Genomic DNA, 15,601 nt, shown 5'->3' with positions numbered 1-15,601 from the left:
AACTGCATCTACAGCGCCACGTATGTCATGGGAAAATCAAATTGTCCTAATATGTGATTTTTGTTTTCTTGGGTCTAGGTGATTTTGAAGTTTTCCATTTTAGACTATGGGCATTTGTCTCCATTATCCTGTACATACTATTTATTCCATCTTAATAGATTTAAGAAGTCTTTTTGTATGGGGAACATATATTTTATTTGTCTCTTACCACAAAATGCAGTGTAGAACTTTGTACGTTTTAGCTTACTGACTTCTGTTAACTGATTAACACCTCTATTTCTGTGTTTTCTTATTTTATCGCTAAAGTTTGAAGGTCATCTCTTTTAGACCATATTATGAGCTATTTAGATCAGTTCTGTCTTTCCTATTGTTTTAATGGCCAAATGGCACACTGGTTGGTATACTTTTTCTATCAAAATTACCTGATTGAGAATGTACCCATCAGTTACATTGCTGTGTATGTTTTAGATAGTAGGCGTGTTTAAGAATGCAGCTAATACAGTGTTTGTGAAGAGTTGTATTATTAGAGGGCATGTATGTGGAAAAACAAAGGTGAAACGGAATTCTCCCTGTGGTTAGTGTGACCCTCATAATGTTATAAGTGGTGTGGTGTAAATCGTTACTACCCACATATGGAACTTAAGCAGTTTACATTTTCTACATCAGGGTTTTCCATTGCTTTAGCAGGACATAGAATTCCTTGCTTTTTGTTAAAACGTACGTGAGCACCCAGGGGCAGCCTTAATGATTTTTGGGTGTAGTTGGAATAACAATTTCATTTTGAAAAGTCCTTTGGGCTTTAAGTTAAATGAAAGGGAATCATCTCTTAAAAGTATGTCCACTCCCACTTTGAGAGCTTTTCATTTCACAGCATCAGTATTAAGATTAATTTCTGGGACTGTCTATTTTCTTTCATTCAACCACTATTTATTGAGCACCTACTGTGCTTCAACACACAGTTCTAAGTGCTGAGGAAGCAGCAGCAAGTGAAACAAACCCAAATATTCCTTAATTCATGGAGAAAATATTCTAGTGGGAGAAAACAGACAGTAATATACAAATAAGTAAAGATTTGATGGTGAAAAGTGCTCTGGAGAAAAGTCAAGCAGGCACAGGGGAAATGGCAAGCTGAGATTTGGCTGAGGGAGTAAGTGGTCATGGTGGGCCTAAAGAATAACTGGGGAAAGGTGACATTTTAGCAAATAAGTGAGGGACTGAGCCCTGTAGAAGTAAAGGAAAGATCAGTCTTGGTAGAGAGAATATCCCCAAGGCCCTTGTTAAGTTTCATTTTATTGACAAGATTTTCTTGATCAGACTATGCATGTCTATACTGAGACATGTTATAGAAGATGAAATATATATCAGTTGGAATAAAAATAGTTTAAAAATGGCCAAGTGTGGCTGGGTGCGGTGGTTCACGCCTGTAATCCCAGCACTTTGGGAGGCCGAGGATTCCTTGGGGCCAGGAGTTTGGGACCAGCCTGGCCAACATGGTGAAACCCCGTCTCTACTAAAAAAAAAAAAAAAAAAAAATTAGCCTGTAGTCCCAGCTACTCGGGAGGCTGAGGTGGGAGGATTGCTTGAGCCTGGGAGGCAGTGGTTTCAGTAAGCCCAAATTCTACTACTGCATTCCAGCCTGGATGACAGAGTGAGACTTTGTCTCAAAAAAAAGAAGATAGGACTACAGGCACGCGCCCCTGTACCTGGCTAATTTTTAAAATTTTTTTGTAGAGATGGGGTCTTGCCTTGTTGCCCAGGTTGGTCTCAAACTCCTGGCCTCAAGCAGTCTTCCCATGTTAGCCTCCCAAAGTGCTGGGATTATAGGTGTGAGCCACTGTGCCCAGCTCGAATAGACTGCATACTTATTATGTCTTTTTTTAAACAAGTGTGTAATAAACTCACACACTTTTAAATTCTATAATACAGTTGTCCACAATATGTCTCGAGGATTAAACAATGATTGAGTTGCTGAAATAACGTCTGTTTGTATCCTAAGTTTTTCCCCCCTTTAGACTGTGAGAATGATATAAATAAGCAATAACAACAAAAAAGCTTAAATCTTCAAGATTATACTTTTTTTTTTTTTTTTTTTGAGACAGGATCTCACTCTGTCACCCAGGCTGGAATGTAGTGGCATGATCACAGCTCAGTGTAGCCTCAACCTCCCAGGTTCAGGTGATCCTCCCACCTCAGCCTCTTGAGTAGCTGGGACTACAGGGATACCCCATCACGCCTGGCTAATTTTTAACCATCATGCCTGGCTAATTTTAGCCTTCATGCCTGGCTAATTTTTGTAAGTTTTGTAGAGACAGGGTTTTGCCATGTTGCCTAGGCTGGTCTTGAACTCCTGGGCTTGAGTGATCTGCCTGCCTCGGCCTCCCAAAGCGCTGGGATCGCAGGTGTGAGCCAGCACTGCTGGTGGTTGTACTTTGTGTATTTTAGTGCTTTGGCTTGTGTGAGTTCTAGTCCTGAATATATTTCCCTTGGCCATTGAGTGGATGAGATTGCTACTCACTATTACGGATTTGGCTAAATTTCCTCCCAGAGTGTCAGAGTAACTTTATATACCGATTCAGCTCTACAATCTTTGCTCCATATATCCCTGAGCAAATTCCTGGAGTTAGCCAGAGAGATATTCCCTTTGGGAGTGTCAGAGAGGACCTAGTTTTTATTTCATATGGGTCAGAGTGCTTTAGAAGACTGTTTGCATTGCATAATGACTCTAGAACTGTGGTTGGGTAAACAAGTTACTGAAAACAAATAGGATGTATTGATTTTCTACCATAGAAGCATGGTGTGCAATGGAATGTCATGTTGTAATATTTGATTTTCATTATTGGGTGTAAATAAACAGAATCCTTTGATATATACATACTACACTGGGATGGCACTGTTCACCTTGAAAACTAACAGTCTTTTTCCTCATCTGCATACAATATACTGAAATCATATAAATTCATATTGCCAGCTGGTTGAATTAGTTCTTTTTCTTTTGAGGAATAGACTTTATATTTTACTGTATCTTAATTGTTAGGCATGAGACAAAGGCATTGTCTCCTTATCCTTAGAGTTATATATGTGTAATAATTTTATTGCATGTACACTGATCAACATATCAGATATAATCTCAAAGCCAAAATTTTCTCCTTTTAAGTTGTTATTTGCTTCATAAAATGCTTCCCCTTATATTAGTCTGTTCTTGCTGCTATAAAGAACTGTCTAAGACTGGGTAATTTATAAAGGAAATAGGTTTAATTGACTCACAGTTCCACAATGCTGGGGAGGCCCCAGGAAACTTACAATCATGGTGGAAGGTGAAGGGAAAGCAAGGCATCTTCTTCACAGGGTGGCAGGACAGAGTGAGTGCTGAGCGAAGTGGGGAAGAGCTTCTTATAAAACCATCAGATCGGATCTTATGAGAACTCACTGACCATCACGAGAACAGCATGGGAGAAACCGGCTCCACGATTCAGTTACCTCCACCTGGTCTCTCTCTTGACATGTGGGGATTATGAGGATTATGGGGTTTACAATTCAAGATGAGATTTGGGTGGGGACACAATGCCTAACCATGTCACCCCCCTTCATTCAACATCCATTAACTGAGCTGATACTGAGTGTCTGCTTTGTTCTAGACATCTTGCTAACTCTTTGGGATTCAGTGATGAAGAAATTTTTCTTGCCTTCATAGAGGTAAAAGTATGAATGATGAGAGTTAGTTAATAAGGAATTATGGTCATGTGCTGTGTAAAGAAATTCTGGGCAATGGTGGACCACACCAAATATATGACAGTGGTTCCATGAGATTATAATGGAGGCGAAAATTTCCTGTTGCTTAGTTACATTGTATGTGGTATAAGGTTGTAGCCCAGTATATTACTCATGTGTGTGGTGATGCTGGTGTAAGCAGACCTAATATGCTGCCGGTTATATGAAATATAGCACATTCAATCGTGGACAGTACGTAATACTTGATAGTGATTATAAATGATTGTTTTACTGGTTTATGTATTTACTATAGTGTACTTTTTATCATTATTTTAGAGTGTACGTCCTCTACTTACATATAAAATAATTCACTGTAAAATAGCCTCCAGCTATTCTGGAAGAGGTATTCCAGAAGAAGGCATTGTTATTGTAGGAGATGACAGCTCCATGTATGTTATTGACCCTGGAGACCTTCCATTGGTCCAACATGTGGCGGTGCAAGAGCAGCAGTGATGATCCTCACCCTGTGTATGCCTAGGCTAATGTGTGTGTGTTAGTTTTCAACAAAAACATTAAAAAAGTTAAAAAATTTAAAAATAGAATAAAGCTTATAAAATAAGATTATACAAATAAAATATCTTTGTAGAGCTGCACAATGTATTCGTGTTGTGTTTTAAGCTGAGTTGTTAAGAGTCAAAAAGTTTTAAAAATGGTTTATAAAGTAAAAAAGTTACAGTAAACTAAGGCTGATTTGTTATTGAAGAAAAAATAATATTTAAAAGAGGAATTTAGTGTAACCTAAGCACACAGTGTTTATAAAGTTCACAGTGGTGTATAGTAATGTCCTAGGCCTTCACATTTACTCACCACTGACTCACTGACTCACCCAGAGCAACTTCCAGTGAGCTCCATTCATGGGGTAAGTGCCCTAGACAGATGTACCATTGTGTTACAGTTGTTTACAGTATTCAGTGCTGTAACATGCTATACAGTTTTGTAGTCTAGGAGCAGTAGGCTATAGGGTATCATCTAGGCTTGTGTAACTACACTCTATCATGTTCACACAAGGATGAACATATATCCATTGTTAAGCAACATGTGATTGTACAATAATGTGTGGTAAGTGTTCTTAGTGGGGAAGAAGAGGATTCTTTTGGGTGTACTTAGCAGGGGCAAGTAACTTGGAGCAAGAGAGTTGAGAGCTGAAGAATGATGAAGAATCAGCTAACCAAAAAGTGGATATGGCAATAGGGGAAAGAAGGAAGGCTGTTCTGGGCAGAGGAAACCCATGTGCAGTGGCCCAGAGGCAAAACAGAATAAAAAAAGCAAGCAAGTAAAACTGGACGGGGGGATTAACACTATTATTAACAATAATATATTATTTATTATATAATATAATTAATTAATATATCAGTATTATTAACATTAATCATAATGGAGTGAAGTGGATGGAGTGAAGTAGATGGATTCAATAAATACTTAGAAGGTAGGACCTGTGGGACTTGATGACTGGAGGAAAAATCAAGGATGCCTCTAGGTTTTGGGCTTAGACAACTGATAGATGATTGTGTGCTTGTGTCAGTTATTGATTTATTGCTTCTCACCTCGAAGTATGTCCTTCATTGCTTGCTCTGTGAAAATGAATCTGGGCCTTTTGCTTTTCCTCCGCCAGCTGGCACGATGTTTAGTTTTGTCAGTAGAGGGTGCTGGAGAGACATTGAGGAGGAAAGAGATTTACTTGCTGGTTCCAAGAGAGGCCAGTGTGGCACATGGTGTTTCTTCAGTGCTCAGGCATTTGCAGCTCTTAGTGACCAGCAGCTCTCCTGCTGCCCAGGTAGCAGAGTACGTCCACTGAGACACTCTCCCACAAACAACTTTCCTTGGCATTCTAGAGGACTGATTTCTGGCAAATTTCACAGAGTGGATTGCCTGAAGTTCTGTCAGGTATGAGCCCCCTCCAGCAAGGTCTGGATCTCAGCCCTAGAGTTGGGGGAACTCTTTCTTGGGTGCTCTGTCTCAGCCTTAAGGGTGGTGGCAATTATATGTTGTGTTACATAATATTATATTTGCTACTATATTTTATGTCAGCTATTGCTGTGTTCTTTCAAGGTCTTATTTGCCAACTTCTCATTAATCTTTTGTTATAGTTAATGATTTTTTATCTTCCCTTGTTCAAATTACCATGTAGTTTCTTTCTCCTGATTGGACTTAGGCTATGACTGGACATAGAGTGTTCTGTTAGAATCATAAAGAGAGAGCATATTTGGGGAGAGAGATGGACAGAGTTTGGGACATGACCAATTTTAAGTGCAGAACACTCAGATATCCAAGTGCCTGTCCTATATGGGTTTGGAATGAGCTCCAAAGACCTGGATTGGAGATTGCCCAGGAAGAGTGTGAGGAACAAGATGACAGTATGGTCAGGATAGAGTCCTGTAGGTTACAGCCTGTTCACATGAAAAGGAACCTCCTAAGGAGGCTGGGGAAGACTGATTGGAGGGATACTATAGTTTATTATTATATTATTCATATGGTTTTTGTGAAGGTGAAATGAGTTGATATTATATAAAGCACTGAGCATAGTGTCTGGCACGTAAGTCCTTAGTAAATGGGACTACTGACTGTGCTGTTGTCTGCTGGGCAATGTGGTGGGTGTCAGGGATAGAGGATGACCAGGGCTGCAGGCTCTGCCTTGAGGGGTGGGGAATGGGAAGAGGCTTGTTAAGTGTGTTATAGTGAGTGGTAGGTGTCAGAAAGGCGTGAATAGGCTGGGTGTGGTGGCTCATGCCTGTAATCCCAGCACTTTGGGAGGCTGAGGCAGGAGGATTGTTTGAGGTCAGGAGTTTGAGACCAGCCCAGGAGAATCACTTGAACCAGGGAGGCAGAGGTTGCAGTGAGCCAAGTTCACACCACTGCACTCCAGCCTGAGTGACAGAGCGAGACTCCATCTCAAAAAAATAAAAAAAAAGAACAACAACAAAAGAAAGGCACGAATAAAGCTCCAAAAACTTCTGCCTTGGGGATTCTGATCAGGGGCCACAGAGGAGGTAAAGGCTCAGCTGGATCTTGGAGGAGAGGTGTAGGTTTGCCCCGTGAAGAGAGGGCAGGGAAGGTCTTCTGAACAGAGGCAACAGCGTTAGCAGAGGAGGGAGAGTGCTTGACAGCCCAGTCCCACAGCGGGGTCATGGTTTGCCTCTTGACTTAGGGGTGGGACAAAAATTGGACACACTTTCTGAATAGCTGTTTATTCTGCATCCTTATATTCCACAGTGTGCTTTGTTCTCATAACTAGATTTATAATTTATTTAGTGAGTTTTAAAATTTCTGCAGGACATTTGCTAGTTAACAATCTAAAATGATTTAAAACTTTGATTTATGCTAACATTTTGCTTAAGCTTTCATTGAGTGTGAAATTGGAGTGTGTAGGCTGAAATCTTTAAGAGGGGAAAGTTGAAATGTACTGCGTGCTGTGCCACTTCATTGAGTTTTACTCTCTGGATGAAAACATTTTTTTCCAGCCACGTGTGGTGGCTCACACCTGTTATCTTAGCACTTTGGGAGGCCAAGGCAGGAGGATCACTTGAGCCCAGGAGTTGGAGACCAGCCTAGGCAACATAGGGAAATCCTGTCTCTACAAAAAGAGTTTAAAAAGTTAAAAAAAAAAAAAATTCTGCTTCCTGAACATTGATAGAGCTCAGAACAGTTTCTGGGTCATGTGAGTTCTCTTCAACTTGCAATTGTTTTTCAAAGGTTCGACAACGGAAGAAATGGAAATTCCTAAAAATTGTATGACTCTTCTCTCAATAACTCACATTTTTGGAGATTTAGGAAACAAGTGTGATAAACTTTTGATTCTTTTGGAGGGAAAACGTGGCAATTAAGCCTTAAAGCCCTCTGTGATTTATTCTTTGTGACTGGAATGTTATTTTCCTTTTTCTCTGTCTGGCAAACTCTAAGTGGATGTATAGCTGACTTATTAGTTTCTAGTCTTTTCTAAAGCTTCTGAATTTGGTTTACCAAAGCACTGCCCTAAGATAAGTCTGTGGTAATACTGGCATGCTTTCATTGAAGACCTTCAAATTGTCAGAAAAAAAAAGGAAACAGTCCAGCAAGCATTCATTAGAATGTGTTATCTTTGGACCCTGGTAGAGGAAGTCCCTTGGCTGAAATGGCACACTCTAATCCAGAAATTCTCCTGAAAGGTCTGCTTCTGAGTCTTCAGAGGAAAGAGGAATACATTTTCTAAAGAAAGATAATCATTTGTTTTTTTCAGAAAGAAGAGTTAAACCATTCTTTATTGGCTAGGACTCCTGGGAATTATATAAGAAGGAAGCTGAGAAGGAAGATGTCAAACAATGACTCTCCAAAGGTTTTAGTTTTTTTTTTTTTTTTTTTTTTTTCCCCCTTGCTTCTCCTAGAGGTAACAGACACCTATAACTCTTTGTTCTTGGTGAAGACCAAGTGTTTGCCTAAAAGAGTGTTGAGAGACCCAAGAAAATAAGACACTTAGGGCAGTTTTACTTTACTTGACTGTCCCTTGGGTAAAATGATGGAAGTTGAAATGTGACTCTTCTGATAATTGCCTCCTCTGTTCTTCTATGATATAAGCCAAGGGTAACAAACATTCCAAGATTATTATATTTTTGAAATTTGGGGATTGTTTTGAAGTTGATAAAATATTTCATATTAGCAATTTATTGAGAAGTTGAAAGAAAAACATGATGCTCACTTTAAGAACAAGTATAGGCCGGGCGCGGTGGCTCACACCTGTAATCCAAGCACTTTGGGAGGCCGAGGTGGGTGGATCACGAGGTCAGGAGATTGAGACCATCCTGGTTAAGACGGTGAAACCCCGTCTCTACTAAAAAATACAAAAAATTAGCCAGGCGTGGTGGCGGGCGCCTGTAGTCCCAGCTACTCAAGAGGCTGAGGCAGGAGAATGGCATGAACCCAGGAGGCGGACCTTGCAGTGAGCCAAGATTGTGCCACTGCACTCCAGCCTGGGCAACAGAGCAAGACTCTGTCTCCAAAAAACAAACAAACAAACAAACAAACAAACAAACTGATGGTTTAAATGCAGAACAATTGCAGGAATTATGATAGTGAGAGCACCCCTGCACTCACCGTTTAGATTCTACAGTTGCATTTTACTATATTTGCTATAGCGTATACATTTACCATATTTACTGTAGAATCATCCTCTATCCATTTCTTTGTGTATAAGGATTTTGCTTTAGGATTTTATATTACAACAAAAGGCTACAAACAATATAGGAGAGTGGTTGAATATGGTAAATATAATAGTCTGTTCTTGCATTGCTATAAATACTGAAGACTGGGCAATTTATAAAGGAAAGAGGTTTAGTTAGCTCACAGTACTGCAGGCTGTACAGGAAGCAAGGCTGGGGAGGCCTCAGGGAGCTTTTACTCACGGTGGAAGGCAGAGCTGGAGCAGGCATCTTCACATGGCTGGAGTAGGAGGAAGAGAGGCGGAAGGTGCTATACAATTTAAACGACCAGATCTCATGGGAACTTCGCACCGAGGGGATGGTGCTAAACCATTCATGAGAAACCGCCCCGTGATCCAATCACCTCCCACCGGGCCCCACCTCCAACACTGGGGATTACAATTTGACATGAGATTTGGGTGGGGACACAAGTCCAAACCATATTATTATGGAATATGGTGGAATTCTCTGCAGCAGTGAAAAAGAATGAGGCACTTTGTATGGACTGACACGGAACAATCTCAAAGATACAGGAAGTAAAAATGGGCTCAGAAGGCTATATGAAGTATACTACTATTTGTGTAACAAAGAGATGTACATATATGTGTGTGCATGCTGTATATGCATGAAATATCTCCAGAAAGTATAAGCAAGAAGCTGATATGACTGGGGGTGTGGGGTAGCCCACCTACAGTACCATGCATATATATTATAAATTTTTAAACTGTGTGCACTTATGCTAACTGCTGGAAGGTTTAATTGCTTCCTTGATATTTTCAGCATGTCAGAAATCTCCACCTCCTAGTCCTTAGATTTTAGATTGTAACAAATTGCAGCCAAACAGCTAAGGTTTGAATTCTTATTCTTTATTTATATATGTTATAGATTTTACTGTCAATAAAACTAGGATAATTATGAGTTATTAAGAAGTTTAAGTTAGATAGTCTAAGTAAAGTGCTTAATATAAAACAGTGGCTGGCACACAGTACTTGACACAATAAGTATCAAGTATTATTATCAAGCATACAATTTTGTGGGAGAGGCAAATAATAAATAATTTAAATATTCTCTGTAGGTGTGTCTATGAGGGATGCGGTAAGTAAAAGGGAAATCAGAGAAGGCTATATAAGGAAGTTGAGAAGGATAATTGAGAGAGAAGTGAAGGAAGGCCATTCCAGACAGAGAAAGTCCCTTTTCTAAGGTGCAAAAGCATAAAACAGTGTTGGTGAGTTTGAAAATTCCAGTAGTTCATAATGGCTTGAAATAGTCTGGGTTATGAGAGATGCAATGGCAGATGATGATGATAGCTGACATTTATTGAGCACTTAGGCAACGTCCTCTTTTAAGTGTTTTTTATGTTTTAATGTATTAATTCCCTATAGTAACTATATTGGTAGTATAATTACCTTCATTTTACTGTTGAGCAGACCGAGGCAGGGAGATTAAGTAACTTATCCAAGGTCTTGCAAAGTCAGCCCATGTTTGTGTGCACCCCTTGTGCTGCCTCATGAGCCTGCTTGGTAGATGTAGTGCAGACAATGAGCAGTGTCTGGATTCACTTCCATAAGCTTTGGGAAACTATAATATTAAAGGATTTTAAGCAATAAAGTGAAACTCTCAGATTTCTACTCTAGGATGACCAGCAATGGCTTAGGGAAGATGATGAAAATCTCGTTTCCACTTCCTTCCTTTCCCTTCTCCTCCCACCCCAAATCCTTTATGTCCTGAAGAAATGATATAATTCATTATTAATATAATACTTTGAGAAATGTGGAGGAGTTCTTTAAATTGATCTTCACCTTGTAATGAATTTGGACACATTTTCAGGACTTCTCCAGCTGTATCAAAGTAAAGGCAAGAAGGGTCAACAATAACAGTTATATTATATGCATTTTATTTTATTTTATTTTAATTTTTGAGACGGAGTCTCACCTTTTTGCCTAGACTGGAGTGCAGTGGCACGATTTCGGCTGACTGCAACCTCCACCTCTGGGTTCAAGCAATTCTCCTGCATCAGCCTCCCGAGTAGAGTAGCTGGGATTACAGGCACCCACCACCATGCATGGCTAATTTTTGTGTCTTTTAGTAGAGATGGGGTTTCACCCTGTTGGCCAGGCTGGTTTGGAACTCCTGACCTCAGGTGATCCAGCCTGCCTCAGTGCTGGGATTATAGGCGTGAGCCACCGTGCCCAGCCACATACATATTTTAGATTAAGCTCCTATATGATATATGTAACAAAATACCTCCAAACTGCTGCTTAAAACAACATTCAGCATTTGTTATCCCACACACCTTTTGTGGGTCAGGAATTTAGGAGTGGCTTGAGGTCCCTTCTCAGGTTGCAGTCAACTGAAGGCTTGATAGGGCCTGGAGGATCCAATTGCAACATAGTGCATTCACAAGGTTGGCAGAGTTCTTGCTGGCTGTTGGCAGAAGCTTCAGTTCCTTGCACATGGAACCTCTTCATAGGGCTGCCTGAGTTTCTTCATGATACTGCACCTGGCTTTCCAGAAGAAAGGATTCATATAAGAGCAAGGTGAAAGCTGCAATGTCTTTTATGACGTAGCCTTGGAAGACATTATTGTCAAGAGTTTGAATACCAGGAGGCAGAGCTCACTGGGGGCCATTTTGTGGGCTGGTTACCACAGTTCTCATGAAAATGTTAGTGAATAGAATAATAAAATTTAGAACTAAAAGGAGCCGTAGCCCAGTGGTTTCAAGATGTGGCTCTTGAACCAGCAGCAGCACTTGTGAATTTGGTTAAAATGTAAATTATTGGGCCTGTCCCAAGACTTACTGAATTAGGATCGAGGAGTGACTCCCAACACTCACTCTCTCTCTCTCTCTTTTTTTTTAAATAAACTTTATACTTTAGAACACTTTTAGATTTATAGAAAAATCGGGCTGGGCGTGGTGGCTCACGCCTGTAATCCCAGCACTTTGGGAGGCAGAGGTGGGCGGATCACGAGGTCAGGAGATTGAGACCATCCTGGCTAACACGGTGAAACCCCGTCTCTACTAAAAATACAAAAAATTAGCCGGGCGTAGTGGCGGGCGCCTGTAGTCCCAGCTACTCGGGAGGCTGAGGCAGGAGAATGGCGTGAACCCGGGAGGCGGAGCTTGCAGTGAGCTGAGATAGCGCCACTGCACTCCAGCCTGGGTGACAGAGCAAGACTCCATCTAAACCAAAAAAAAAAAAAAAAAAAAAAAAAAAGAAAAATTGAAAATTGGGCAGATAGTATAAGTAGTTCCCACACACACACATATACAGACACACACACAGAGTTCCCCCTATTATTAACATCTTGCATGAGTGTGGCTTATCTGTTACAACTGATGAAGCAGTATTAATATATTATTAACTGAAGTCTACAGTTTAAGATTCACTCTTTGTGTTGTACATTCTGTGGGGTTTGACAGAAACGTAAATGTCATGTGCTTATCCACAGTTACAGTATCCTGCAGAATAGTTTCACCACCATTAAAACTTCTGTGCTCCATGTAATCATCTCTCCCTTCTTTGCCCAGCCCCTGGCAACCACTGGTCCTTTTACTATCTCTATAGTTTTGTCTTTTAAAGAAAGTTGAAGTTCCTTTTAAAGAAAGTTCTATGGTTGGAATCATATAGTGTGTATACTTTCAGATTGGCTTCTTTCACTTAACAATATGTGTTTAATGTTCCTCTTTCTTGTTCTTTAGAGCTCATTTCTTTTTATTGCTCAGTGAACACCACAGTTCGCATATCTATTCATGAAGTACGGTTGAAGGACACCTTGGTTGCCTTCTGTCTCTGATTATGAATAAAACTACTCTAAAATTTGTGCAGATTTTTGTATGGACATAAGTTTTTAAGTCAGTTGGACAAATGCTTAGGGGCACGATTGTGGGATTGTATGGTAAGATTATGTTTAGCTTTTTCAGGCTGGGCGTGGTGGCTCATGCCTATAATCCCAGCACTTTGGGAGGCTGAGGTGGGCAGATCACGAGGTCAGGAGATCGAGACCATCCTGGCTAACACAGTGAAACCCCGTCTCTACTAAAAATACAAAAAAATTAGCCGGGCGTGGCAGTGTGTGCCTGTAGTCCCAGCTGCTGGGGAGGCTGAGGCAGGAGAATGGCATGAAACCAGGAGGCAGAGCTTGCAGTGAGTCGAGATCGTGCCATTGCACTCCAGCCTGGGTGACAGCGCAAGACTCTTCTCAAAAAAACAAAACAAAACAAACAAACAAACAAACAAACAAAAAAACATTATGTTTAGCTTTTTCAGAAAATGCCATACTGTGCTTCATGTTTGCTGTGGGTTAGATGCTTCCGTTTCCTGTAGTTTTCTTGTTTTTTTCCACCCCTGGTTTCTTTGGGTTTCCCTAAGAACTCCTTCTTAAATAGAGTCTGTCTTGAAGCTCTGTCAGTTGTAATGCATTTTTTTTTTTATACTGGAGCTCTGTTGATGTGGTGGAAAGGTGTTGGGGAAGGAGTGCATTCTGTAATCTAATATTAAATCTCAGTTTTTTAGTGGGCGTAAGTCTTTAGGCTGTGATCTTCCGAAGAGTTTATTAGCTTTCCTCCCCTCACCCCTTCTGTGAGAAGGCAAGAGGGAGTTGAGTAATTGTCCTTTCCCCAGGTCTACAAAGCTCCTGCGAAGTAGTTTTTCTTAGCAGGTGGGCCTTTGTTATGGAGAATGCTCTGAGCAATTGCAAAATGGTTACTTTCCCCTCTCCCTGCCTAAAATACGAGGGGATTTTTTTCTTTGATGTTCTTGTAAGAACCTGTTCAGGCTCCTGGAGGTAAAAGCTATATAGGTCCCTCTTAAGTCTGGACCTCCAGAAGTTTTAACTCTCAAGCTAGTCCACACTCAGTCTTCTGCAGTTCGTCAAAATTACCGTTCAGGTATTGATTACTGTATTGCTTACTGGTTCATGTAGCTTTTGCTTCTGGTAATCTGATCTTTTCTGTGATTCTCTGTATTTTCTTGTGATTTTTTTCCTTCAAATTTTGTGGTAGCTGTTTGCTCTGTGACCCCAGTTCTCTAATGGATCTAAGAAAGGCCATTGATTTCAGTTTGTTTAGCTGTTTTCTTGCTGTGAGGATGGGAATGATGACTTCTGAACTGAAAATGAAGCCTGGCACCCAACACCCCTTGCTTTAACAAATCCCTCCAGGTGATTCTGAGGCATGTGAATGGTTGAGAACCACTCATGCAGCGTTAGTCCTTCAGTTCACAGATAAAGTACAAAGGGGAAACTGGCTGGTCACTGTGGCTCACACCTGTAATCTTAGCCCTTTGGGAGCCTGGGAGGTAGATGGTGCAGTGAGCTGTGATTGCACCACTGTACACCAGCCTGGGTGACAGAACAAGACTCTGTCTCAAAAAACAAAACCAGACTGGGCGTAGTGGCTCATGCCTGTAATCCCAACACTTTGGGAGGCTGAGGCAGGTGGATCACCTGAGGTCAGGAGTTCAAGACCAGCCTGACCAACATGGTGAAACCCTGTCTCTACTAAAAATACAAAAATTAGCTGGGTGTGGGGACGCATGCCTGTAATCCCAGCTACTTGGGAGGCTGAGGTAGGAGAATGGGGTGAACCCGGGAGGCGGAGCTCGCGGTGAGCCGAGATCGCGCCACTGCACTCCAGCCTGGGCAACAGAGCGAGACTCTGTCTCAAAAACAAAAACAAAAACAAAAAAAACCCCAAAAACAAATGGGGGAAATTACTTTTCTAAGTTACAGGGAGAGTCAAAACCCGGACTAGAACCTGGGTCTCTTGACTAGATCATCTTCAAGCTGTATTTTTGTATCTACATATAGTGACCTTCAAAGGGATTCATTATATTTCATCTTGTGTATTGTATGTTTGACAAGTATATTTGTTTTGATGGTTCACTGATTTCAGTCCTTGGTATTTACCTCAAGTTCATTCTGGGATCTGGTTCTATTCATACACATTATCATAGCTATTTGGAAGCTTACTTGAAATCTTCTCTTTGAAAGAAATATCAGCCTATCTCAGGTGTGAGCTTCAGTGTAACATTGATGTGAGTGAAATAGTATGTTATATAGAAAATTTTATTTTCCCCTGCCATCCCTTACATAAGATTTTTTAAATACCTGAAAGAAAACCTTAGAGCTCTTCATTCAGTCTTTGGAAAAGCCTGATGTGAACCATCATATGGGAGGAATCAGCTGCATCTGTCATTCTTTCTTCCCATGAGTTCCCATAATTTCATTTTCTTAATATGTAGTATAGGGTGGATAGCAGTCATAATCCCCTTTTCCATCTCAAGCCAGCCCACACTCCTTAGCCTCATGCACATGACATTCCTCTTAAGTTGTGATCTGGAGAAGGCTGGAGATGTTTGCTGTTGGCAGTCTTTTTCTGTAAAGGGCCAGATATAGTAAATATTTAGTCTTTTCAGGTTGTATGGTCTCTGTTTCAAGTATGGAACTCTGCCATTGTAGTGGGAAGACAAACAACCATAGAAAATACACATAAAAAAATAAGGCCAGGTGCAGTGGCTCATGCCTGTAACCCCAGCACTTTGGGAGGCCGAGGCGGGTGGATCACAAGGTCAAGAGTTCGAAACCAGCCTGGCCAACGTGGTGAAACCCCGTCTCTACTAAAAATACAAAAATTAGCCAGGCATGGTGGCACGTGCCTGTAGTCC

The 15,601-nt window shown here is 40.9% G+C and overlaps 1 protein-coding gene across 2 annotated transcripts in view, besides 2 other annotated features; it reads left to right on the top strand.

The window, feature by feature from the left end:
* Nucleotides 1–15,601, top strand: part of RERE (arginine-glutamic acid dipeptide repeats) — a 465,237-nt gene that overhangs the window by 72,681 nt on the left and 376,955 nt on the right. The window lies entirely within an intron of this gene.
* Nucleotides 12,897–13,066: a silencer, noted in NCBI's record as "fragment chr1:8791953-8792122 (GRCh37/hg19 assembly coordinates)". NCBI's record gives its function as "represses an EF-1alpha promoter that drives an FKBP-Casp9 reporter gene in an ReSE screen in K562 erythroleukemia cells {active_cell/tissue: K562}" and the evidence as "EXISTENCE:reporter gene assay evidence [ECO:0000049][PMID:32094911]".
* Nucleotides 14,049–14,548: an enhancer, noted in NCBI's record as "H3K4me1 hESC enhancer chr1:8790471-8790970 (GRCh37/hg19 assembly coordinates)". NCBI's record gives its function as "activates a minimal SCP1, AML or CMV promoter by ChIP-STARR-seq in primed H9 embryonic stem cells {active_cell/tissue: H9 hESC(primed)}" and the evidence as "EXISTENCE:reporter gene assay evidence [ECO:0000049][PMID:30033119]".

Source organism: Homo sapiens, chromosome 1, assembly GCF_000001405.40.
Source record: "Homo sapiens chromosome 1, GRCh38.p14 Primary Assembly".
NCBI lineage: Eukaryota > Metazoa > Chordata > Mammalia > Primates > Hominidae > Homo > Homo sapiens.
This window is presented reverse-complemented; position numbering and strand designations above follow the sequence as displayed.